The sequence below is a fragment of the Homo sapiens genome, chromosome 5 (genome assembly GCF_000001405.40).
Source record: "Homo sapiens chromosome 5, GRCh38.p14 Primary Assembly".
In the NCBI taxonomy this organism is placed as follows: domain Eukaryota; kingdom Metazoa; phylum Chordata; class Mammalia; order Primates; family Hominidae; genus Homo; species Homo sapiens.
In genome coordinates, this window is record NC_000005.10 from 13,886,971 (window position 1) to 13,912,680 (window position 25,710).

Here is a 25,710-nt window from a genome sequence, read left to right on the forward strand (position 1 = left end):
TTGGTTGGAAAATCACAAACATCCACAGGACCTAAATATTTGCAAAGGTTAGTCAACTCATTCCATGTAAACTAACTCCTCAATTCTCTGAGAGAACACTAATATTTTTTAAAGTCTGAATCTTAAGTCCTCTGACTCTACCTTGGAGAGAAACACACATGTGGTCTCCATTTTCAGGGCCAGCTCTCACAGGGAATCCTCAATTAACTTGCAGCTCTTTCAGTCCTCTCAGTAACACAAGCACATGTTTGAGATCATAAAATTCCTTTGTATTGAGGGTTCTAGAAGATGAGATTGATAACCTCTCAAAGACTAATATAGTTCCAACAACGTTGTTTACATCTCTTAACTCTTTCTCTCTGTGAGAAGGCATAACCATAAAAATGTAAATAGCATAGAAATTAACAAAGCAGAATATAAACGCAATGAGGAAAAAGAAGTAATAAATAGACTCATTAAAATATCCCCCAGGACAAATAAAATAAATGAAAGATGCTGCCTCCACTTATCCTGCTTCATTTCAACAACTAACCTCCATGATGACACCCAAAAGCTGAAACCCACCAAAAGGGCCTTTCTTTCAATCCTGAGTGGTGTCCTCCTTGAATAATCAGCATGGGGCTCCACCATTTCCTCATTCCCATGATGCTTTAGCTTTGGCAAACCAGGAACCTACTAGACGCCATGTCTTCTCAAGGTCTCTTCACCCTTACTCCCTGGTTCATGCCCTCTCCTAACACGATTTCACACTTCAACCATTGTTTTGCTAATATCCTTTACTCCATCACTCTCTCAACCTTCCACTGCCCCACCCAGGAGACGCCCAACCCAAATGAACCAGGTGACCTACCCTCTCCACCGGCACACATAGGTCATGGTGAGGCAGATGCTTGGCACTGGGAATTCATGGTCCCCAAACTCAAACTGGCCCCTAATGCTACTCGGGAATCATTCTACATGACTATAGCCACCTCCCTCTACCAAGCTCCATAATAGCTGTGTCTTCAAATCCCTGTGTCCTCAAATCGTTACACCATCCTTCCTCGTCATACTCAAAGAATGACCTTGATTTCTACAGCACAAAGCAAATGGAGGTCATGACACGGGGACTCAAACAACTCCCACTGCCCTCATGCAGAAGACAAATCGGCCTCCATCATGAGCCCCTTTTCCTCTTGTTTTGGTGAATGCAATCATTCTCCTTTTATTCGAGGTTAACTCCACAACCTGAGTTCTGAATCACAGCTTCTCTGGCTTCCTCAGAAACCAAGCCTACCCCTTTCTTCCTCTCTACTAATTTTCCACCTGAGCATATGAACACCCAATGTACTTCAACTCAACACCTTTCTCCAGCTACAACATGCTTCCACCTCAGGGCCTTTGCACATGCTATTCTCTCTGCCTGGCATGTTCTTCCACTAAAATGTTCACATAGCTTGCACTCTCACTCCCTCCCTTCAAATCTAACCGTAGAAGTCATCAGTGACCATGAACATAAAATCACAACTTTCTGTCAGGTACTCCTTTTCTCCATCATCCTTTTCATTTTTCTCCATAATTGAATTATGAATTCAAATAAACAAACTCAAGAGAAATGATTTACTAATACCTATATTGGTAATCAAAAATGCAAACTCAAATTGGGTTCCACGATTTTGCTACTTAAAGTAAAAGTAGTAAACTATAATAAAACAGTGTTTGTTGGAAGTGAAATTGGTAGTACTGCATTGCTGGTGGCATTGTAAGCTGATAATATCCTTTTGAAAAGCAATTTGGCTACCAATATCAACAGCCATCCAATAAGGCCATACTCTCTGACACAATAATTTTATTTTGGGGAGGGAATAACATTAAAGGAGAAAATACATGATACATGCATATATTCACTGCAGCTCTTGACAAATTAGCAAAACTTTGGAAGCCATCTAAAGGTTCAGCAATAAGAAACTGGTAAGTAAATTACAGTATATCAACTCAACAGAATATTCTGAAGGCACCATTAAAAGGCTGCCTATGAAAGCCATGTAGCAACATGAAGAATATTTTGTGACGAAATGTTAACTGGGAGAAAAAAGTACTATTCAAAACCTGATATATATGGAGTAGAGATCGCCACTTTATTAAAAAGCTTAAAATGCATTAATATTATAATAATGATGGTATAATTGATTAAAAGGCTAGTTTCTTTCCATTTTTAAAATATTCTAAAACTTTCTTTTAAATTTAAATTTAAAACAAGTGTATTTTTATAAAACAATCATCAGAAAAGGGGTAAGACTAAAACCATGGAGGCAAGTGATTTTTCAGAGGAAGAGATAGTTTTTTAAATGATGAGGAAGAACAAGGGGATGGTTAGGTGTACCCACAGTTAGTGAATGTGAGGAGGAGGGACTAGAAATTTCTAACATGTAGACAGTAAGTTTTGCGTATAAAATGACTTAATATAACCTGCCATATATGCAGAAAGGGGTGAACACAGCAGGCCTGAAACTGCTCTCCTTAGAAAGTCCTGCTTGGGAGGTGGTCCCTTGGCCGGCGTCTGGAAGCTTGGATTTTAGGAGGGTTCCCCCTGTTGCCCTGCTGATAAAGATAGTTTGCTGTGCCTAAACTGCTTGTGCAAACAATGTAGTTTATGCTGAACACCTGATTCCTTCTGGGAGTCTGGAATTCTGGTCCATGCTAAGCAGAGTGTGTGACCAGACCCAGTAAGAACCTTGGGCCCTGAGTCTCTAATAGGTTTCCCTGGGCAGAAACATTGCACAGAGGGGACGGTGAGCTCCGGGCAAGCCTCACAGGAGGGAGACAGCATGAAAAAGCCTGGACAGGGACTCCCCAGACACCACCTGTCTTTGTTCCTTATGATCCGGCTGCATCTCTTAACTATGTCAGGGCAGTGCAACTACGTGCTGAGTTCCGTGAGTCCTCCTAGTGGGGGTGGTCTTGGAGACCCCGGCACATCATATTAAAATCATGATCAAGGAGTCCTTATCCTCAAGATGCCCACTGGGAATATTGTAAATGATGCTAACGTGACATGCCTGAAGGGGCACTTCATGGAGCACTGCTCCCAGGAGCTTACTCCTGGCACAGGGAAGAAAGTATCCCATTTGCAAATGTGTTGGAGAAATAATGAGCTACGAAAAGTTAAATGAAGGGCCGGGCGCAGTGGCTCACGCCTGTAATCCCAGTACTTTGGGAGGCCGAGGCAGGCAGGTTGCCTGAGCTCAGGAGTTAGAGACCAGCCTGGGCAACACGATGAAACCCCATCTCTACTAAAATACAAAAAATTAGGCAGGCGTGGCAGCGTGTGCCTGTAGTCCCAGCTACTCGGGAAGCTGAGGCAGGAGAATTGCTTCAACCGGGGAGTCAGAGGTTGTAGTGAGCTGAGATCGCATCACTGCACTCCAGCCTGGGCAACAGAGCAAGACTCCATCTCAAAAAAAAAAAAAAAGGTTAAATGGAGATCTTCTGAGGGCCTTTATCTTAACATGTTAAAGTGTAGCGGATCTGTAAGCACAGTCTTTACCCTAAGCAGTTTGCACTCACTCCCTGCCTCTCTCAGGATTCCCAGCAATGGCTCCAGAATTGTGTGCTATAGAACACCAGTTTGGGAAACCCCCCCTCAACAAAAATGTTTAAAGAAGAAATTTTGTCTAGAAGCTGTTCAAAACAATTGTTTCGTTAATTAACCCTAGCTTATGAGAAGCACTTCTGCAAGATAGCTCTATCCTTCATTAAAAAATGGAAAAATTCCAAGTGTGTTCTATGGCAATTTCTCTCCTACTGATCTGAAATGATGTGTTCCCCATAGCTAAGTGACCGCTTACTTAGATACATTTCTCTTCACTGGCAAATTATTGTCAGAAGATTCCATGTCTGAATCACTTCTATCACAGAGCACTGCAAGTAGAGAAAAAAATCTAACTTATAACTTCAAAAAAGTGACCTTTATAGGAAAATGAATCACCAAAAACCTTAAACAAAAAAAATCAAGGTTTTAATGACCTTTGTCATTTGGAGAAACTCTTCACAGGTTAGTGGCTCCTCCTGGGGAAGCTGACAAAGAGGCGTGCTGCTCATTTCTTCTAGAATGGCATCAATGCGGAACTCAATCAAATCATTGACCCTGTCAAGCAGCAACTCCAGGTCCTCTTTGGGAAAAAATAAAAGTAAATAAAAGAGATTAGGTAAAGCATTTTGTTTTTTAAAAAAATCAACACTTGATTAAATGACAGTAGTAAAATCAGCTTTAAAGATTCTCAGTTACGTATGTTCCCCAGATCCCCACTGATTCACACTTGGTTGTCGCTAATAAAATATCCAAGTTGTTAACTTTCTAATACTAATACTCTGTAGGGAGAATGGAAAATCTATCTTGGTAGCCCCTTCTAATTTGATTATGATCATTCTTATTATAAAGTTTTTATACATTTTATAAATGCCTCCTTAGGGACTTTTAGCCAATTTCCTTTTGTTTTATTTCCTGGGGCCATCGTTCCTTCTCTGTAACCAGTTTCTGAGCTCCTGCCTGCCTAACTCTCACTCATACTTAAAGATCCGGCTCAAGTGCATTTCCCCACAGAGGCCCTGGGTGAATCCATGTGCATTGGAGTGGTCCCTCCTCCTGTAAAACCACAGATGGAGCATCCTTCCGTCTCTGCGGATTGTCTACCCATGTGTCTTATCTTCTTTAGAATTCATATTTTTTATCCTTACATCTTCAATATTTAACCTGGTGCCTATTCCACAAGAAGTATTCAACAAATTTGACTAAAGTGAAAGTTCCCTATTTTTTCTTTCACTGTAAATATCATAGGGTACATTTTTTTAGTTGTGCTGAAGTAATATTGAATGCTAAGTTCAATGGATGCAAAGGCCAACTCTGAAGCAAACTAACAACAACTGCACATCAAAAGTAGGAATGATTACTAATGGATATCCATCTAAGGGTAATACATTTTTCAACAGATACCATACAGTAAAATTTCTCTTTTTCTAATACTCCTTTCTCCTGGGAAATAAAGCTGAAATTGAATACAGGAAAGTCAACGTTACATACCAACGCTGTATCGGAGATGTAAACACCTCCTTAAATAAATACCTTTATTTCCTAAAGAATAAAAGCCTAAAAGTTTTCTATTTTTTCTAAGCTAATTATTAAAGAGGCTACTCAAGATACCAAATAGTTCTGCCTGGTAAATTGATTGAATACTAAAAGAGAGCCAACACTTTCACTTAAGTATGTGTGAGCAATAAAATTCTCTACGCTTTCTAACGGACTGCTTCTTCATCTTTAAGGACATCTGTGTTAAGCTGAAAAAAATAGTCCCCAAGGATGTCCACATCCTAATCTCCTGTGAATGTTACCTTATATGGCAAAAGGGATTTTGCAGATGTGATCAAGTTAGGGATTATGTAATGTGCAGAGTGTCCCAGATTATCTATACTCTCTTAAATGCATGATGCAAATGACCACCTGTAAGTAGGATTGGCTTACTAATCCAATTAAAATCCAGCTGCACTTGAGATTTTACATAGTTTTCTCTCAAAGAAACTTCATCTTTGTTCTATTTTAGTTCCTTAAATTACAAAAAGAAAAACATAATAGAAAACAAGAACAAGAAGTTTCTCTAGAAACTAGTTCCTTGTCTCCAGCTAACAATCTAATAAAACATCCAAATTGTTAATACTTTAATACTAGTGTTCTAAAGGAAGGATATTACTAAAGTCTATCTTGGTCGCCTGTTCTAATTTGATTATGATAACTCATTATCATGTTTTTATACATTTCATAAGTGCCTCCTTAGGAAATTTTAGCCAGTTTCCTCTTGTTTTATTTCCTGGGGAGGCGTATTTTGGAAGAAATATTAATTTAGAGCAAGGAAATCGGGTTCTAAACTCATTATTATTTCTTACATCTATGTAACATTAAAAGCCATTTAGCATCTCTGGCTTGATATTCATTCATATTCAAAAACTCCATTATCATTTGTCTTTGAGTCCAGCTCCCAATCTATAATGCATAACAAAGGTGAGGTATGGGCTGAATCATAATTTCTCACTCTACTCCCCTCCAACCCAGTACTTCTCAAATATTCTTAAATATGAAGTACCTGGCTATTTAAATAGCTGGACCTTCTGAACCCTAAGTTTTTTGGAAAGTGCGGTGAAAATCTACTGATAAGACAAGCTCTTGACAATTTACATTATAAATGGACTAGGTACTATGTTAACAGCCATAAATTCCAGAACAAGAGAGAGACCTGAGGGGCGGAGTTGGGGGAGAGAGAGAGAGAATAAAAGGAGGCATCACGAGAGCTATCTAAAAGGGAAGCCCAGGAAGAGGTATCCAGAAATAAGGTAATGGGCTTGAGGGGTAGGAACAGGGTTACAGTGATAAAGAAATGAAGAGAGACTAAGTATATAAAATTATTGCTATTATGAATCTGCAAGTATATGGATGTCTCCTACACACCCAGCTGAGAATAACACAAAAGAAGTATAAATGTAAACAGCCTGGATTTAATTATTTCACATTGCATTCATAAATCGTAACACCATTTTGTATCCCATCAATTTTTCCCCACGCAACTCCTTCTTCACAGAATCCATAAATCTATACAATTATAAATTATCAATTTACAATAAAAAAAGAAAAAAAATTAAACAGCCTGATATTCAGGTCCTTTGTAGTCTGTTTGAGGAGAAAGATGAAACTGTACTAAACCATTAGAAGACAACCAAAATATCAAGTCTCTGGTCCCAAATATAAATCCAACAGGAGGTCACAGGAGGAAGCGGTCACAGGAGGTAGAGTAATCAGAGTAGCCTTCTAGGGGCAAGACTCACTCTGGGCTATAAGAGTGGGGAGGACTGGGCTATGCAGAGGAGAGGGTGTAAGACACTGGCTAGGAGAGGACAATAGCAATGTCTAAGTCTTTCTGAGAAAAAAAAAAAAAAAACCATTACCACGTTCCAAACTGTGCTACACTGTCTGCCACAGAGGATCTGTAAGGTGTTAATGTGTCCTCCTGGAAGGCAGCCAAGGAATTCTGGGAAATGCCACAAGCAAAAGGCCACTTTTGGAGACCTACTGGGACACTGGCATGTTACAGGCTCTGAAAAGTCGTCCAGCAAAGAAACCTGTCCAACTGCTCCTCTTGGATTTCCCAGACATATTTGAGCCCTTCTTTGCAACATACCCGTACACATTCCAGAAAAGCGCATTTTATGGAATATACTACCTTACATATATTTTAGACTATTATATCTCTTTTTAAGGAAAATTGTGTTTGTTTAAATTTTTCCCATTTATCCTGTTGTTCAGCACTGTACTCTATCCAAATCTCCACATCTTTCAAATCAAGCTCTCAAAATACACTAACCTATTTATATAAAAAGCTGAATAACTCTAAAGATACTTTAAATCCTAATGTCCAAAAATACAAATAAATGAAAATATGTGGTTAATCTCTGGGGATAAAATTAAATAGTGAATATTTATAGTTTCCAGGAAATTACTGAATTCGCATGTTTTGGAACACTTCCTTATGAAACAGCTTAAGAATAACACTCCCCATTTCATTATTTATATCTCCATATTGATAAGAAATTATTCAACAGATGTTAGGAACTCAGCCTTTAGAATTCAGAAATACTAATTATTCAGGCAGACTTACTGATCTTTGCAAAAGTGTTTTCTAAATAAGCCTCAATATTCAGTGATGTCCAGGTCAGTGCAGCCAAGCCAGGTTGGAGAGCTTCATCCACTTTGGCCAAGTGAGGGACAATCAATTGCTCAATGGCAGCAGGTATTTTTGACTTCACTCTCTGATATTCAGCTAGCATCATCTGCAATGAAATTGGGGTTAAGTAATCAATTAATATCTCACTTCTAATGTCTGTTAATATCTCATGTCTTATACAAAATGACTACTTTTATTTAGGGTCAAACTGTAGGGCTCTAATAGCCTGGCAGGTAGAGTAGCCAAAACAATAAAAAGAAAAGAAGACGGCCGGGCGCGGTGGCTCACGCCTGTAATCCCAGCACTTTGGGAGGCCGAGGCGGGCGGATCACGAGGTCAGGAGATCGAGACCATCCCGGCTAAAACGGTGAAACCCCGTCTCTACTAAAAATACAAAAAAATTAGCCGGGCGTAGTGGCGGGCGCCTGTAGTCCCAGCTACTTGGGAGGCTGAGGCAGGAGAATGGCGTGAACCCGGGAGGCGGAGCTTGCAGTGAGCCGAGATCCCGCCACTGCACTCCAGCCTGGGCGACAGAGCGAGACTCCGTCTCAAAAAAAAAGAAGACAAGGACTCTCTCCATAATTACAAATTCCTAATCCAAAAAAATACAACTGAAGATGAACAAGAATTTAAGACTAACAGTGTCTCACCTCCTACACAGCCTAAAAAGGGAGAAAATCTAAGGCCAAGTAATTTTTCTAAACCATGCAGAAACACGGGAATGGCACCTTCACCTGCTCATCACCAGGCTTGTTTGTTCCTCTTTGTACACTGATACGACATGCGTGCTGCTCCTCTGGGGACCTCTTGTAGACTACACCCATCACCCAAAACATGTGGGTCGCCAGAGGTCTACCTCAGCCCTTTGCTAGGATTATAGGCCAAATCTTGTTGCCAAGACCCAAAGCACACCGGGAACCAGTATTGATCTCAACTAGTGTCACGGCTTTGAATTTCATCCAGATGCCAGAAACAAACACATTTACGTCTCCAGCCCAGATCTCACTCCTGAAAGTCTAGATTCACAAATGGCAGCAGCCTCCCAAAGTTTCCACATCAATATATAGCAGACATTTCAAACTTAATAAGTCCCAAACTGAAAGTCTGTTCTTTTCCCAAAACCTCTTCCCAGTGCATCCTCCAACTCAGCTGATAGTGACTTTATCCTTCCAGTCCACAGGTCAAAACCCAGAGTCATCCTTGATTCCTCTTTCACTCACACACATACAGGTAATCCATTAGGATATCTTGTTTGCTGTCTAAACTGTACCTAGACTTATTGGGAGAGTGAGTGGAAGCAGGGAGACAACAGTAGATCATCCCAATAATTTAGGTAGGAGCCAATGATGGCAGTAACTGTAAATGTGGAAAGCAAGTCAGATCCTGCTTCCACTCACCCTCCCAATAAGTCTAGGTACAGTTTAGCAGCAAAAATGATCCTTTCAAAATGAGAATTCAGATCATGTTACTCCTCTGCTCACATGGTTACATAGCCTCCCATTTAATTCAGGGCTACAAACCTTTATACAAAGGACTTGGATAGATGCTTGTTCTAGAAAGATCTACCCGATTTTGTCCCATTACTTCTCTGATCTCATCTCCAACCACTCTTTCCCTCTCTTACCTGCACTTGCCTGACTGTCTTCCTTTCTGGTCCTGAGCCTCAGGGCCTTTGCACCTCCTTCAAATAAGTACTCAAATGATACTTTCTCAATTATACCTGTCCTGACTACCTGTTTAAGATTATAAACCACCACCAAAACCACTCACACATTTTATCCCCCTTTTTTGTCCATAATAACTATCACTTTATTACAATAGACTATATTAATTTACTTACTTACAGTGTTCATTTTCTGTTTTACCCAATTAGACTATAAGTTCTACAAGGACAAGAATTTTGTCTGCTTTGTCCAGTGAGCCTGAACCAGTGCCTGGCACATAGGAGATAATAAATCAATATCTATCTAATTAGTTGTTATCAGAAGGATTTTTCATCTGAAATGGGCATTCTCATCTTTCACTGAAAGGTACATAATGTCAAACTGTGTCAGTATTATTTACATAATGTCAAACTGTCAATATTTTGTTCATATGTAACCATGTCAATATTAATAATCATTAATTATAAGAAACTAACTTTAATGTGCCCCATAAATACAGTTGGTATTAAGGTCATATATGTGCATGTTGGTTTTACCTTGATAATAGATGAATGTTTTCCAAACTGTTTTGCCTAGAGTACTAGGTCCAAAGAGATTCTATAAGAAAAAATGTCCCTTTGATAGATAAATTTTGAAAATGCTGCATACAATATCTCCCCTCTTGGGTGGTCACAGCTAATATTAATGATTCTTAGAAACCTGCTTAAGGAAGTAAGAAGCCTTGCAAGGCTTTGAAAATTTTGTTAAACACAGTATTTCCCAGATGGACCTCATAATCCTTTCCTCATATAATGTTTTTCCACAATTTCTATAAGATTCTTTCAATGTCCATAAAAGCCACTTTAGAAAAGTCTAAATTTTCTGGTTCTATTCGCAGCTACTTACATATTTCCTGAAACTTGTATCCACTGCTTGTTTTTTTTCAATGTCCACCAGTTATTCTATCTGGAAGCAGTTCTTAGAATCTGCTTCTAGCAGGCATTCTACTTCCCACCTTTAATCCCAGAAGGGATTACTCAACTGCTTTGACAAAAGAGAAACCCAGGCTTAGAAGGTGAAGTCATTTACCCAAAGATAATGATTTGAATCCAGATTAAATTGGCTTCAGAACCTATATTTGTAACTATTAGCCTGTACTTGGTCTTCTCTTTCTAGTTAAACTGTCTTCCAAGGAAGAGATGAAGAAACAAATTCTCAGCTACTTTGGCATATCTGCAAAAGCCTGAAAGCTCTGTCAAATATTCAGCACAATAATTCTGCAACACTTCAGATGGTCACCTAAACCTGCCAATAGATCTGCTTTGACCAGCTACTCAGGTTGAGCAGAAACTTTTAACTCTCAACCTCCAAGATAATAAATGTTAATGAGATGATAATTTACTCCCTTGAATTGTCATTTAAAACATTCTTTGATCCTCTTCCCTTCATGGGGGAGGGGGGAACCACATCCCCTTTTTTTGAATCTGGGTAGGTTTACAGTCCAACAGAGTACAACAGAGATGATGCTGTGAGACATCTGAGGCTATTATAAAGACCATGTGACTTCTTTATTGTTCACTGTAGCGCTTGTTCTTGAAACCCTGAGCTGCCATATAAGAAATTCTACTAGCCAGAGGCCTCCATACTGGAAGGCCATGTATAGATGTGCCTGTTCACAGTCCCACTGGAGTGTACCTTCCAGCTTTCCTCAGGAAAGAAACAGAAACTAGAAGAACCCTTCTTGGACCTTACAGATTGAACATCTGCCAGTTGAATACCAATAAACAACCTTTGTCAACAATACATGGAACAGAAGAATCACCTATGCAAGCCCCACTCAAGTTCTTTACCCATAAAGTCATGATATAATGATACGGTTATTGTAAACCCTACAACGTGCTTACAAGTGTTTGTTGCCTGAAACAGACAAGTGAAACAACAACTCTGCAAATACAATTAAATTATCAGTAATTCCATAATCTTATAATTATAGTTTCTTAGTAAAAATATTATTTTCTTTATGAATATGTAAATTGACTAAGTGAGTTTCCTAATGTGAAAGAGTCTAAAAGGGAATCTCAACATGCTGACTGGTATTTTATGAGTCTACATTTGAGGAATGTCTGTCCATTGCCAATACAACTTTTTAATATGACATGAAGTGGTGGGAAGACGATGGACTACAAGTCTGGGTTCTGGTCTTACTTCTGCCACTTTGTAGCTATGAGACCTTTGCTAAATCTTTTAACTTCTCTAAGCCACAGTTTTGTCATCTACGAAATAAAATAATAGTATTCTGTCCTACTTACCTAACGTAGTGGTAGAAAAGATCAGATGAAATAATGAGCATGAAAATGGCTTTAAATGTAAAGTACAGTGCAAGTGCATGGACTTAGTATTGTCACGTGATGTTAACCACTATGAAATTTTAACAATGGTTTCCATGTTGTCAGATTCCATGGCCGCATCTCTGATCTCACCTTCTTCATCCCCTGGGTAGCAGCATTTGCCACTGGTGACCAGTCCCTCTCTCAGTAGCCTTTTCATACCCTTGGCTTCCTTTTTTTGTTGTTTTTTGTTTGTTTGTTTTTTGAGACGGATCTCGCTCTGTCACCCAGGCTGGAGTGCAGTGGTGCAATCTCAGCTCACTGCAACCTCCATCTCTAGGTTCAAGAGATTCTCCTGCCTCGGCCTCCCAAGTAGCTGAGATTACAGGCACATGCCAACATGTTCAGCTAATTTTTGTATTTTTAATAGAGACGGGGTTTCACCACGTTGGCCAGGCTGGTCTCGAACTCCTGACCTCAGGTGATCTGCCAGTCTCAGCCTCCCAAAGTGCTGGGATTACAGGCATGAGCCACCGTGCCCGGCCATCCTTGGTCTCCTTGACACTTGGTTTCTTCCCAGCTCAGAGGTCAGTCCTCTGTTTTATTTGCACACCTGTCTTCTTCTTTCAGATCTGTTAATACTGGAACAACCCAATGCTTGGCCCAGTGGCCCTCCATTCTTCTCTGTCTGTATTCTCTCCCCTAAGAGATCTCATCCAGGACAATGACATTAAATAACAATGATATTCTGATAACTCTCAGAAGCATGCCTCCCACTTTGGCTTCTCCACTGAACTCCAGACTTAAGTATCCAACTGCATGGACAACACTGCCACTTGGCTGTCTAAAAACTATCTTGTACTTAAATGGGAACTACTGATTCCCTCCTGCTGCTCCAAATACACTAGTTTCGGTTTTCGCCATCTCCATAACTTGAACTTACAGTCAGGGCCCCTGCATGGTATTGTGCAAGTTATGAAGAATGCAACCTACACAGCATTCTACGGCACCCCTGCTTTAATTCATGGAACTGCTCACACCAAAACCACAGGTATTATTCCTGAGTTCTCTTATAACCTGACTGTTGACATAACTCTAAATTCTCCAAACAACTCTGCTGCCATCCCAGTTCAAGCTCTCATCTTCATCCTGGGCCAGTGCAACACTTCACAAACAGGCTTCCCGCTGATACCCCTCGTCCCTCTTAACATCCATTTTCCACCCAGCAGTAAGAATAACTTTTATTATAAAAAGAGATCGTGCCTTTTTCAGTGGCTCGAAATCCTCCAATGGTTTCCTGGTACACTCAAAATAAAACCCAAGCTTCTCATCTTGGCCTGCAAGACCTGTAACGGCCTGGCCCCAGCCAACTCTGCAGCTGCACCCCATGGCACTGTCCCCTCAGTCACTCCATTCATCCTGGCCACTTTCTGCTCCTTGAATATGACACATCACCATATTTTTTTATAATACATTCCAGAGCTAGCCAAGAATGGGGGGAAAAAATAAAAGTAGTATACCTTCATGTTACTGAAGTTCCTTTTGTATCTATCTCGTTTCTGGAAGAGGGAAGTTGCCAGTGGAGAGACTTCCAGACCCATCTGGGCCATGCACTCTGTTTCTCTAAATAAGATTAATATCTGAGGGTCAAAGTTTACAAACAATTCCCCTGTGCCTGGAGCCTTCACCAATAATGAAGCCTCAAGACCTACATGAATTTCTTCAATCTGTGGGAAGAAACCAACATCATTACTATCAGAAAGTTCAATTCATGCAGAGTATCTAGCTCAGCTATCTCTAGGAATAAGGATCATTAAATGTTCTTCCATGGATTTGAGCTTCCTAAATTAAGGGCAATAAGATCACTCACTCTTCTCCTAAATCCAGTCTCATACAATAGCCTTCAAGTTCTTGGTGTTGATGTTGGGCAGTCAATTCAATAAAACCTTTCAATGACTCTAACACTGATAAATAAGTGGACACTGCAACAGTGGTGGCGTCTCAAAAGCCATTTAGCTACCTGATACCTTCATGCCTACTCTATTATTCTTCCTAATAAAAGTTTCGTAAGACCTCCTAAACTCAGTTTTTACTTATCTAGAAAAACAATGAACACAGCTATGGAGACATCGCATCCTGACAGCCTACAAAGAAATACATGTATTGGTAGGATATGCTATGATTAACCAGTTGTACAACAAAAGAAAATTTGAAACTTTGTTTAACAGATGTGCTAGTGTTTACTGACATATTTAGGATCTGACTGAATTTTAAAAAGCAAGATATCCTAATAGATTGGGCATAGGAACCAATAAACAAGATCTTCTCACTTTGGAGTTCGTAAATTAAATAAAAATGGGGTTCTGTTACCTGGCTTGTGGTTTCTTTTCAAATCTAATAATTATTTTTCTTTGTGGACATATTACACTCTGAACGCTTAGATTCAACCCATCTGCCTTACAAAACACCTACAAATCCAGCTTTCTAAAGAAATAACACTGTCAAATGCTAGAAGAGGGGTTCCCATGATTCCAACAATGGGAAGAGTATAAATTTAGGGACTCACTTGCCGAAGCCACGCCCTGTGGAAGAGGACCTCAAACTCCAGGAGGACCTTGGCCATCCTGTTGTAACTGCGAATTATAGGTTTGGCTTCTGCCGTGCTTAGCACAGCTGGGTGCTGCTGGAAAAGCTGCATGGGCTGCTGAATCCTATGGAAGAGCTGGCGGGCCCACAAAATCTTTCCAGCGATGGGAGGCTGGTTTCGAGCCAGAGGAGGATCGTATTTCTGCTTTGTATACAGCTTTGAAATCATATCAATGTCAGCCCCATAGTTCTCAAGGATAAGTTGATATTTGTCATCAATACCAAGATTAGGTATATTCAATCTGATTTTTTTAAAAAGTTAAAAGCTTGAATTAATGGAATAAAATAAATAAAATACACAATAAAAATATCTAGTAATCTCATTTATTAATATTTATTTTTTAAAATGCTAATGGAAAAGAATGAGATATTTACATGGAATATTAAAAGAATAAAAATAAAACTCATCCATAAAATGTAGGCAAAACTATTAACTTGGGAAGACATTTTTCAAATTATCTATACATTAGGAAATATTATTATAGGCAGTCACAAGGTACTTCAAAGCTAAGAGTATTCTCTATTTGTAGAAATAAAATAAATCCTGAATCCTTAAAAGGATTAATCCTCTGAAAAACTTAAAAACTATGACCTTGTGACCCAAATTGCCAAGAGAGGTTTTCCTTTCCATCAGAATATGAAATAATAATAATAGGAATAACAACAATAAAAGCTAAACTATCCCAATTTTAGAAAATAGACAATTTCTTGAAAATTTTACCTTTCAAATTTCTTCAACATTCTTAGAGCTTGATTTGTGTTTTGAATCTTTGCAAATGTAACATCCATGAACTTCCGCAACTCGTTCTAAAACAGAATAAAATCTGATGATGAACAATAGAATTGGGAATTTACTGTTTAGCAACAAGATAAAAGAGCTTTCCATTCTGTGCAAACACATATAACATGGAACAAAATGTAACCGAAAATTGAATGAGCTTAAAAGAAAAATAAATGCCCAGAAGCCAGAAACAAAGAGAGACTTGAAAGCCAGATCAGCCATGGGAGTTGGCGCCACGTCAGGTTCCACGGGTACTGGGCCAGACACAGAGCCTGGGGGGTGGCACTGGGGCCTTATCGCAATATGGGGAGATGGGCTATGGGGTCCTAACATTCTCAACAGAGCCTGTGGAAAGCAGGGATCCTTGAAGTGCTGCCCAGTACATGCAAAGGGAATTGATTCACAAGTTGGGAAAGCTGCAAAGAGGCTTGACATCTGCCCAAACCCTTGAATAGGAAAAAAAGTCACCCTACAATAGGGTTCCCATACTTTCTCATCACAGCTACTCACTTCTACCACTGCAATGCCAAAGCACCCATAGACAGTACACAAACAAATGGGCAGGGCACTGTCTGGCTCTTGGACATAGTTTGCTGACCCCTGCCCTAGAGGAACTGAAATCCCACATCGGTGCCACACCTAGATAAGGGGTCCAGGTTTAAACTACACATGAAATGAAAGGGATATAACCCAAGACATTAACATAAAAGCTAGTCTGGGAAAGTAAAACCACTAGGACCACAGAATTCAAGAAAAGCCACTCTACAGAAACACTTCCAAAGCCCAGGGCCAAAAGATTCCTATAGGAAAAAAAATAAATACATAACTTCTAAAGAAGCTCAAAAAGTTTTTGAAAACCCATGAGAAAATCATCTTTGAGAGAGAAGGAGCAGAATGCACAAACAGAATTAGTAACCAAGTACTAAAAATGATAGAGCAGTCTAAAGGAGACTATGAAATAAGTATATTTAAAGTGATTAAAGAGTAAAGAAGAAACAGAAATCATAAAAAGAACAGAACTGAATAAAACAAGAACACTCAGATTTTTAAAAATAAAATTTAGACGTATAAAGGGGAACATAATTACAATTCAAAATACAATAGATGCAAATTATAAACACCTGAAAAGAAAACTGATGAACTACAAGACAGTTTTCAAATAAAATCACCCAAAGTATAGCAGAGAAATAAAGAAATGGAAAAATACAAAAAAAGATGTTAACAAACATGGAAGATAGAAAAATAAGGTGTAACATATGTCTATTGGAAATCTTGGAAGAAGAACCTAAGATATTTAAAATGAGAAAGGCTGAGAATTTTCCACAATTAAAAAAAGACTTAGTCCTCAAATGGAAGAAGCACATCAAATTCTGAACAAGAGAAATATGTTTTAATCACACCCAAAACTCACAGAAAGATGCCAAAGGTAAAGAGAAAAACAATATTAAAAGAAAAATAATAGTAATATTAATATTAAAAGATAGAAATATTAAAATCACAAAAGGGAGAAATCAAATTTATCTATAAAGAAATAACTATTTGATAGCAAATACCTCGTGGAGAACAATAGCCGACAAAAATCAGTGAATAAAGATCTTCTAAGGGCTGACGGAAAATAACACCCAAACTAAAATCACATATAAAACGAGAATAATATTCAAGATTGAGGGCAACTTTATAGGCATTTGGGTGTAAAGACTGGATGAGTTTACCATTAACAGACTCTTGTTAAAATAAAACTAAAGGATATACTTCTTTAAGAATGATAATGAACCCAAAAAGAGGGAGAGATACGATTACTAACAAGATGCAAGAATAAGCAAAGCAAACTGTAAACATGTTGCTAAATTTAAATAACTATTAGTAATAACAAGTTTGAAAAGTTTAGCAGCAAAGGTAAAACTAAAATTCAAGACAACCATAGCATGAATGAGAGGTAGGCTGATAAAACAGTTAAACTCTTTAAAGTCAGGTATATATGCTAAAACCACTAAAAATATAAATACAATATTAAAAATATAAATAGAAGAGGAATAAAGAGAATAACAAAATTTAATCAACAAAATATAAAAAGGAAAAAGTCAAAGAAAAAAAGTTCACCTCACTTAAAATTCAAAATAGATTGTAGAAGTAACTCTATACTAAAAACAACAATCAATGTAAATGGCTTAAACTTGCAATTAAAGGAAAGAGAGTCTCAGCTGTTTTTTATATATACATATATGTTATATAGAGAGATATGGATTATATTTTTATGTAGATTGTACATGGATATTATATATAAATTATAGATATATATATTATAGATATATGGATTTTATATATATGTGGATTATATATGTGCATGTGAATTATATATAAGGATATTATATATAAATTATAGATATATTGATTTTATATATATGGATTCTATGTATGTGGATTATGTGTGTGTGTGTGTTTGTATTATACGTATATAATCCAACCATTGCTCTTTTAAAGAGATATGTTTAAAATATAATAATTAAGAAATAGTAGGCCAAGTACAGTGGCTCACACCTTTAATCCCAGAACATTGGGAGGCCAAGGTTGGCAGATCCCTTGACCCCAGAAGTTTGAAACCAGCCTGGGCAACATGGCAAAACCCTGACTCTTCAAAAAATACAAAAATTAGCTGGGCATGGTGGCATGCACCTGTAGTCTCAACTACTCGGGAGGCTGAGGTGGGATGATCATTTGAGCCCAGCAGATCGAGGCTGCTGTGAGCCAAGATCGCACCACTGCACTCCAGCCTGGGTGACAGAGCAAGACCCTGTTTCAAAAAAGAAAAGAAAATGAAAGAAAGAAAGAAATAGTAGGAAGTAAAAGAACAGAAAAAAATGTTTATTTCAGGTAAATAATAACCAAAAGAAAGTCGAAGTAGCAATATAAATAATTCACAAAATTGATTGTAAGGCAAAGAGCCTCATTGAAGATAAATATGGTCATAATTTAGCATTAAAGGGAACAATTTCTTTGGCAGATATGCCAATTTCGAGTCTGTGTTTAACCAATTGAATCAAAATATATACACAGATTTTTAGAAACCCATGGATCAAGCATGCTATGGTTTAAATGTCCTCTCCAAAACTCCTGTTGAAATTTAATTGCCATTGTGATGATATTAAGAGGTGGCACCACTAAGAGGTTATTAGGCCCTGAGGGTTCTGCTCCCATCGGTGGATTAATGTTATCGCAGGAGTGGGTTGTTATAAAAAACGAGCTCAGCCCTCTCTTGCTTTCTCAAGCTCTCTTGCTCTTCAGCCTTCTGCCATGCAGCAAGAAGGCCCTCATCAGATACCGGCTCCTCAACCTTGGACTTCTCAGTCTCCAGAACTGTAAGAAATAAATTTCTTTTTTTTATAAATCAGCCAGTCTGCAGTTATGTTATAGCAACACAAAAAGAACTCAGACAAAGAAGATCAAAAAACATTCAGTATACCACTACAAATATTAGAATGGTCAAAATCTAGAATGCTGGAAACACCAAATGCTGGTGAGGATGTGGAGCAACAAGAACTCTACTCTAATTCATTGCCAGTGGGAATGCAAAATGGTATGGCCATGTTGGAAGACAGTTTGATGGATTCTTATAAAACTAAAAACACTCATACTATATGATCCAGCAATCATACTTCTTGGTACTCAATCAAAGAAGTTAAAAACTTATATCCACAGAAAAATCTACACACCGATGTTTATAGCAGCTTTATTCATAGTTGTCAAAACTTGGAAGTAACCAAGATATCTTTCAATGTGTGACTGGATAAATTGTGGTACATCACAACTGAATAATGGAATGTTATTCAGTGCTAAAAAGAAATGAGCTATCAAGCCATGAAAAGGCATGAAGAAAATATAAACGCATATCACTAACTAAAAGAAGCCAGTCTAAAAGGGCATATTCTGTATGCTTCCGACTAGATGGAAAAGGCAAAACTACATAGACAGTAAAAAGATAGTAGTTACCGGGAGAGGGAAGGATGAATAGGTGGAGCACAGGGGACTTTTCGGTAGGAAAACACTTTGCCTGATATTACCACGGTCGATGCATATCCTTGTATCTTTGTCCAAACCCATAGAATGTATAACACCAAGAGTGAGCCCTAATGTAAACTGTGGACTTTAGATGGTAATGATGTGTCAATTTAGGCTCATCGATTGTAACAAATGTACCACCCTATCAGGGGATGTTCATAATGGGGGAGGCTATGCATTCTGGGGGAGAGTAGGGGGAATATAGTAAATCTCTGTACTTCCTCTCAATTTTGCTGTGAATCTACAACTTCTCTTTAAAAAGTCATTTTTAAAAAATATTTAATGAGGTGTAAAATATTTGAATAACCCAATTAAAAGTGTGATATAGTGACATCAAAAGACCCCAAATCCAGACAGAAAACACTACTCTTTTCAAGTACACATGGAACATCTACAAATCTTAACTACGAACTAGGCCACGGAGGACATCTCAGTAAATACCAAAATACTGACATAAAGTATTCCATGTTCTCACATCAAAATATAATAATTTAAGCCAAAATAAAATGAGAGCCAATAGAGTACAATAAAAAAGCTAAAAATGCTTTCAAATAATCCATGAGTAAAATAACAAATCATAACAAACATTACGTGATACTTTAAACTCAACAACAACATATGTACTACATATTAAAATTTGTAAGAAACAGCAATAGTGACCCTTCGTGGAAAAGATATAGACTTTCATGCACCTATTTTAAAGAGAAAAAGAAAAGAAATGGAAATTAATGAGCTAAGCTGTCAGTTGAAGAAAGGTAAAAATAACAGAATAAATTCCAAAGAAAGAAGAAAAAAATGTTTTAAAACAAAATGCAATAAAATTAAAAACAAAGAAGTAAGAGACAAGATTAACATCTCCAAAGCTGCTCTTTGGGAAAAATAATAATACAGACTAACCTTTGGCAAAATTAACCAAGGGCAGTGGGGTGAACGCAAGTTCACACCGAGAGCATCTGTCAAATTAGAATCTAGCAGAACGAGGCCAGGCACGGTGGCTCACGACTGTAATCCCAGCACTTTGGGAGGCCAAGGCAGGTGGATCACTTAAGGTCAGGAGTTCGAGACCAGTCTGGCCAACATGCTGAAACCCCATCTGTACTAAAAATACAAAAATTAGCCGGGTGTGGTGGAGCGTGCCTGTAATCCCAGCTACTCAGGAGGCTGAGGCAGGAGAATCGCTTGAACCCGGGAGGCAGAGGTTGCAGTGAGCCGAGATCGTGCCACTGCACTCCAGCCTGGGCAAGAGTGAAACTCTGTCCCCCCGCCACCCCCCAAAAAAAGAACCTGGGGGAGAGAAGGGGGAATATGGTAATGATATTAATCAAAGAATAAAAATTGTTCTAAAAGCATTAAAGGTGAAACGTGTTGTAAAAAGAATGACTTAAATATCAAAGATTTTAAAAATCCTTTTCATGAACCCCTCAAATATGTTTTCCAAAATGGTCTTTATGGGTTCTCCTGAGAACGTCACACATCTTATACTATTATGTAACTATGACCCTCCCCCCAAAAAAATTGCACCAAAAAACTAAGCACAATTTATTCTTTGTGCATCCTAAGCTTTAGTGCAGAGCTATAATTAAAATCTAAATTCAGTTAAACAAAACATAGAAAAATTATTTCCTTATTTTATATTTCATGCTTCAAGACAAAGTGAACAACTTTTTTTCAACTTACCAGTCAGAAGTTTTAATTAAGTCTTTGCAAACTTGAAGAGACATTAATTGATGTAGTATTAAATTGAGGAGACTAGTTTGATATGCGATAAGAATTAGTACCTAAATGGGTTTGATTTCAGATAATGTTAGGTCAGAAGTAATATGGTAAGAAAACCAGTTGGCAATATCCAGACCACCACAGGAGATACGACCTGTGGAGGAGATGGAGCTATTGGCAGGGTGGGGGATGGGTAAGCCGCAAACCTCCTGCCTGATCCAGCAAAGCTCCAAAACTGAAGGAGCTGGAAGCCTATTACAATACTTCCTTGCCCTCAATAGTTTCAGCTACTTCTACTGGAAGTATATGTATTTTTTAAGTGACATTATTTCTCCTGCTAAGTCCACATCCTAGGATGAAAAAATGTTCCTGCATTAAAAAACAGTACAGTTAGCCTACCTAAATAAACATCTACATTTTTTCACTACATAAAAAATCTCTATGTATAAATTATGCAAAACTAGAGCATTTATAACCCTTCCACTGCCTCCCTCTCCTTCAGACACCAGCAAATCTCTACTGAGCCCTAACACTTTTACCTGGTTTTCCTTGCCTTTCTACCCTATGGCTTCGCAAAGGCCTGGGCTGAACTCTCTGTCAACATGTAAGACCTAGACTTTTCTTGTTCTGAGCCTTGGTCCATCCTTACAGTTTGTGGGGTCTGGGTTGTGGAATCTTCATACTCGTCTTCACATTAGTTTTGGGGTCTCAGCTCCTACTCAGTTTTCCTTTAACTCAGCTTGCCACCTCAACACCCATCCTTTACTAAGTAGTGCCTTCTCCATCTGCTGGGATCAGCATGCTTCTAGACTTCCAACAGCCCACTTGGTTCCAACATGCTGCCCTCTTTGACCTGTTAGTACCAGCACGAACCCTAAATCTGGAGAGGATTCCAGGCTCTGATCCCTTTGACACCACCCTGATCCAAATCACTCATGAAGACTTTCACTTGAGATTCCACTGTTGCTGAGTCTCTCCAAGACTCCTGGACGCATCACCGCCCTTACTCCATTCAGAGTCGTGGGAAGGTATTTTTGCCCCAGTTTTATAAAGATGAGGGCTGAATTCATGAGTGGGTGAGTATTTAAAGGACAGACTGCAGAACAATTAGTTAAGAGAAAGAGAATGGACAAAGGAATAAAGAAGTGTAAGTCAAAGAAAAACTCATTGGCAAACCAAAGACAGAAGTGAACAATTTCTGACATGGAAGACAAGATGGATAATAGTGTTGACTTTCTTTTAAGAAGGCTGAGTAGAATGGGAACTAATACAGTAGTCCCCTCTTATCCTCAGGAATATGTTCCAAAATCCCCGGTGGGTGACTGAAACCAAACCTTATATATACTATGTTTTTGCCTGTACATACATACAAACATAATAATGTTTAATTTACAAAATAGGCAGAGTAAGAGATGAGCAGCAATAATAATAAAATAGTACAATTTTTAACAATATACTGTAATAAAAGTTATGTGAATGTGGCCCCTCTCTCTCTCAAAATATTTTATTGTACTATACTCACCTATTTTCAGACCACAGTTGACCCTGGGTAATTGAAACCATGAAAAATATAACCACACAAACATCTTTCTAGCATCAACCACAGCCTCCTCTCTGAAGCCTTTCCTAACCCCAGCCAAGCAGAAGTATCAGATTATCTTTCCCTAGGTTCACATGATCAGATTCTACGTAATGTTTTCCAGGCCTGATCTCCCTATACATTTTTGTAGGCCTTGAGCTATGTCTCTTTATTTTTGAATCCTCACTTTTTCATATAGTATCAGAGTAGTATTCTTTCCTAAGTAGCCATTTTAACTCCATTTGCCCTTTTTTAAATGCTAAATTCATTACTCTGTTCTAATGTATGTGCTTATATTTTCATCATTTCACCATCTGCCTCCTATCTGACTATGAGCTGCGAGGGCATATCTACTTGATTTATTTCTGTATTCATAACCTACAGCATAGAAGTCTAATACATAATTGCTGTATAGCAAACGTTTGTTTCATTGCAATAAATCTACATCTTCTTATTAACATATGGGAATAAAACATGATCCCTGCATTTGAGGTGCTCACCATCTATATTCCACATATAAGCTACAGAAGTACCATGTGGTCAGACACTGCTGAGGAAACACAGGTGAACATCAGAATCTGCCATTACTCATCAATTTCCAACAAAAAGAGACCAACATTCACTGTCCTTATGTCTGAATCTGCCCCCAAAAGAAATCATTGCTTAAATTATTATAGGTACTCTCTCTTCCCATCAAATGAAGCCTGCTGCATGCCACAATGGTTAAAAAAGTTGAATTCCAAAGCCAGACTGCCTGGCTTTCACCCCAACTCCACCCCTTGTTATGCCTGTGACTTTAGGCAAGCCACTTCCCCTCACAGTGAAGTTTCCCAGTTTCCTCCTCTGCAAAATGAGAGTAACAAGAGCACCCACTTTATAGGATTATTACGATTATTAAATGAATTAGCACATACAAAGTGCTTAGAACAGTGCCTGGCACATAGAATGAGCTAGCTTTGTTATGACTCATTCTAACACTGAACTCGCTCCTCCCAAGGTGTCTCAGAGCTCCTTTTACTTTGAAGTGCACAAATTTAATGCAAATCAAAAACCCTGGGAAAGAAGAAATAGAGTGGCTATTTTCCTCTTATAGTCAGAAAGATAGACATTTGCACCTCACTGGGATGAGAAAATGTCCCCATATTCATTATGGTAGATACCTGCTGGGTGTCTTCCCATCTTACCCTCCCTGACTCCCCTTTCCTGATAATAAACATTCCCCGTGACCCAGTGGATCCCATCCCGCCTGTGTCCACCACAGGATCTCACAGTTGAGAGGCCCAGTACTAGGCACCTCACCAGAACTGGCTAGCCCAACCCCTTCCTCGGGAATCTGGAGCTGGCCTGGTCCTGTGAAACAGTCTCAGAAGCTGCTAATGGCATAAACTGCTCATGTGAGCTGCAAGGCAAGATGGCTGGTCTGCAGTGAGCAGGTGAAAGAAGGAAGAGAAAGGGGTTGCAAGTCCAAGCGGGGTCCAGGTGCTGAGTCGGTCCTGGCGCCACCGTTTCTAAGGCCAGTGGCAGCCCTGCCTTGGAATCTGCCAGACATTGCTGACCATTTGCCTGAGCTACCTCTGGTCATAATCATTGCTACACAGTGACAAACGGAAATAAGAGTCTACATTCCAATCGTGCCGCAATGTTCAACAGAAGATGAAAGTTAACTTTCTAAGAACGTCAATGGAAGACATGTGGAAGTCTGATACACATCATTAGCCAAAGCTATATTTATGACCCTTTAATCCATGAAAAACAGCCTTCAATTATTAATCTGAAATCACGAAACACAGGCTGAGGTTGCTATCGGTCACCTCCATGATGAAGATACCTCTGCCTTCTGATTGGGTAATGATTAACGGCATTATACAGAAAGGAAAAAATAAACACACGACTGTCAACAGGAATTTTATTATACAACCTACATGAAGGTCATTAGTCTGCTTGCAAAACTCTTCGTAATCTTGGTCAAAATCCATTTTCCGCTGGTCTAGGAAATTGTATTCCTTTTTCTTTATGGTTGCCACAATGCCCTGAAATATTATGAGATAAATTAGATAATATTTCAATATTCTTATATTACCTAACTAAATATGACCCTTAAATGTAGAGCCTATACAATAATTGCCAGAAAAAAAATAAGTTTAAAGGAAGCCTTATTTTTTTACTCACATTGTTTTGTGCTTATTATTTTACAGGCAGTATAAGGTTGCCCTACTGCATTCAAAGAAATCACTTGGAAAGTATTTTCATGATGTTTTATGTATTTTTGAAAAAATGAAATAAAAACCACACCTGAAAATTGGGAAAGATTTTTTCCACTAAAATTTTATTGTTAATCATATCTGAAATAATTTTTAAAGCCCAGAGTAGAATTTACTAAAATATTCTGTGTTGAATAGTTTAAATCTTCTCAGAAAATAAATAAGGCTTTCACAGAACACAAACAATATAGGAAGAAAATAAATGATGTTATATCTACAGATGAGTTACTACCTTCCAAGCTTCAAACATCTTAAAAATGTCAGACCAGAATCCACCACTTAAAACCTTTCTAAAATTAATTGTTTCCTACTGCCCTGCAAAGCTGCAGCCTGTGACTAGGAAAGTACAAACTAGGAAGTTCATCTCCTTGAAAATACTATTATCAGAAGCTTTGTTTGCTTTCAATAATGAGCTATAATGCTCTGCGATTCTTCTTAACCAGGTACTAAGCCATTCTCAAACTCAGGTGCCCACACTGTTGACAGAAGCATATAATTTTTATGAAGAATATTGGGCCTCCTTCTTCTACAATCTCCTCTTCAAAGTCACTTCCATTTAAACATCAAATCTCTCAATAGACAAAAGTGTATAAACAGCATAACTTCTTGAATCAAGTTTACTAGATAAAACAACCTACTTTTTCATGCTGCATAACTACAAAATTAGTTCTATTTAGAAATTGTGTGTGTATGTATATATATATATACTTTTTTATATAACGTGTGTGTATGCATGGAATGTTATATAAAATATATACACACACACACTATATATATGCATGGAATGATACAATGTCTAGGATTTACAGTGCTGATATCCCTTAAAATCAAAAGAATCAAAAGTATGTGTGTGTATGTATATATACACATATATACATACACATGTAGCTTTTCCATACTTCTTTTAGACATTTTATGTAACACTATATACATATATACACACACATATATAGTGT

At 38.3% G+C, this 25,710-nt stretch overlaps 1 protein-coding gene and 1 long non-coding RNA gene across 13 annotated transcripts in view; one reads left to right on the forward strand and one right to left on the reverse strand.

The window, feature by feature from the left end:
- DNAH5-AS1 (DNAH5 antisense RNA 1) overlaps nucleotides 1-14,082 on the forward strand; it is a 40,614-nt gene extending 26,532 nt beyond the window's left edge. The window contains exons 2-3 of the long non-coding RNA NR_199035.1: nucleotides 9,619-9,775; nucleotides 10,565-14,082. This is a non-coding gene — a long non-coding RNA (DNAH5 antisense RNA 1). The remainder of the gene's footprint in view (nucleotides 1-9,618; nucleotides 9,776-10,564) is intronic.
- DNAH5 (dynein axonemal heavy chain 5) overlaps nucleotides 1-25,710 on the reverse strand; it is a 321,491-nt gene that overhangs the window by 196,643 nt on the left and 99,138 nt on the right. For all 12 annotated transcript variants that reach the window (XR_001742034.2, XR_001742035.2, XM_017009177.2 and 9 more), the window contains 6 exons: nucleotides 24,416-24,523; nucleotides 15,083-15,168; nucleotides 14,282-14,603; nucleotides 13,236-13,442; nucleotides 7,680-7,851; nucleotides 4,006-4,151 (listed from right to left, as the gene is read on the reverse strand). Coding sequence is in view for 10 of the 12 variants with exons in the window: in XM_017009177.2 (XP_016864666.1) it covers nucleotides 4,006-4,151; nucleotides 7,680-7,851; nucleotides 13,236-13,442; nucleotides 14,282-14,603; nucleotides 15,083-15,168; nucleotides 24,416-24,523 (1,041 nt within the window). In the remaining 2 variants the exon portion in view is untranslated. The remainder of the gene's footprint in view (nucleotides 1-4,005; nucleotides 4,152-7,679; nucleotides 7,852-13,235; nucleotides 13,443-14,281; nucleotides 14,604-15,082; nucleotides 15,169-24,415; nucleotides 24,524-25,710) is intronic.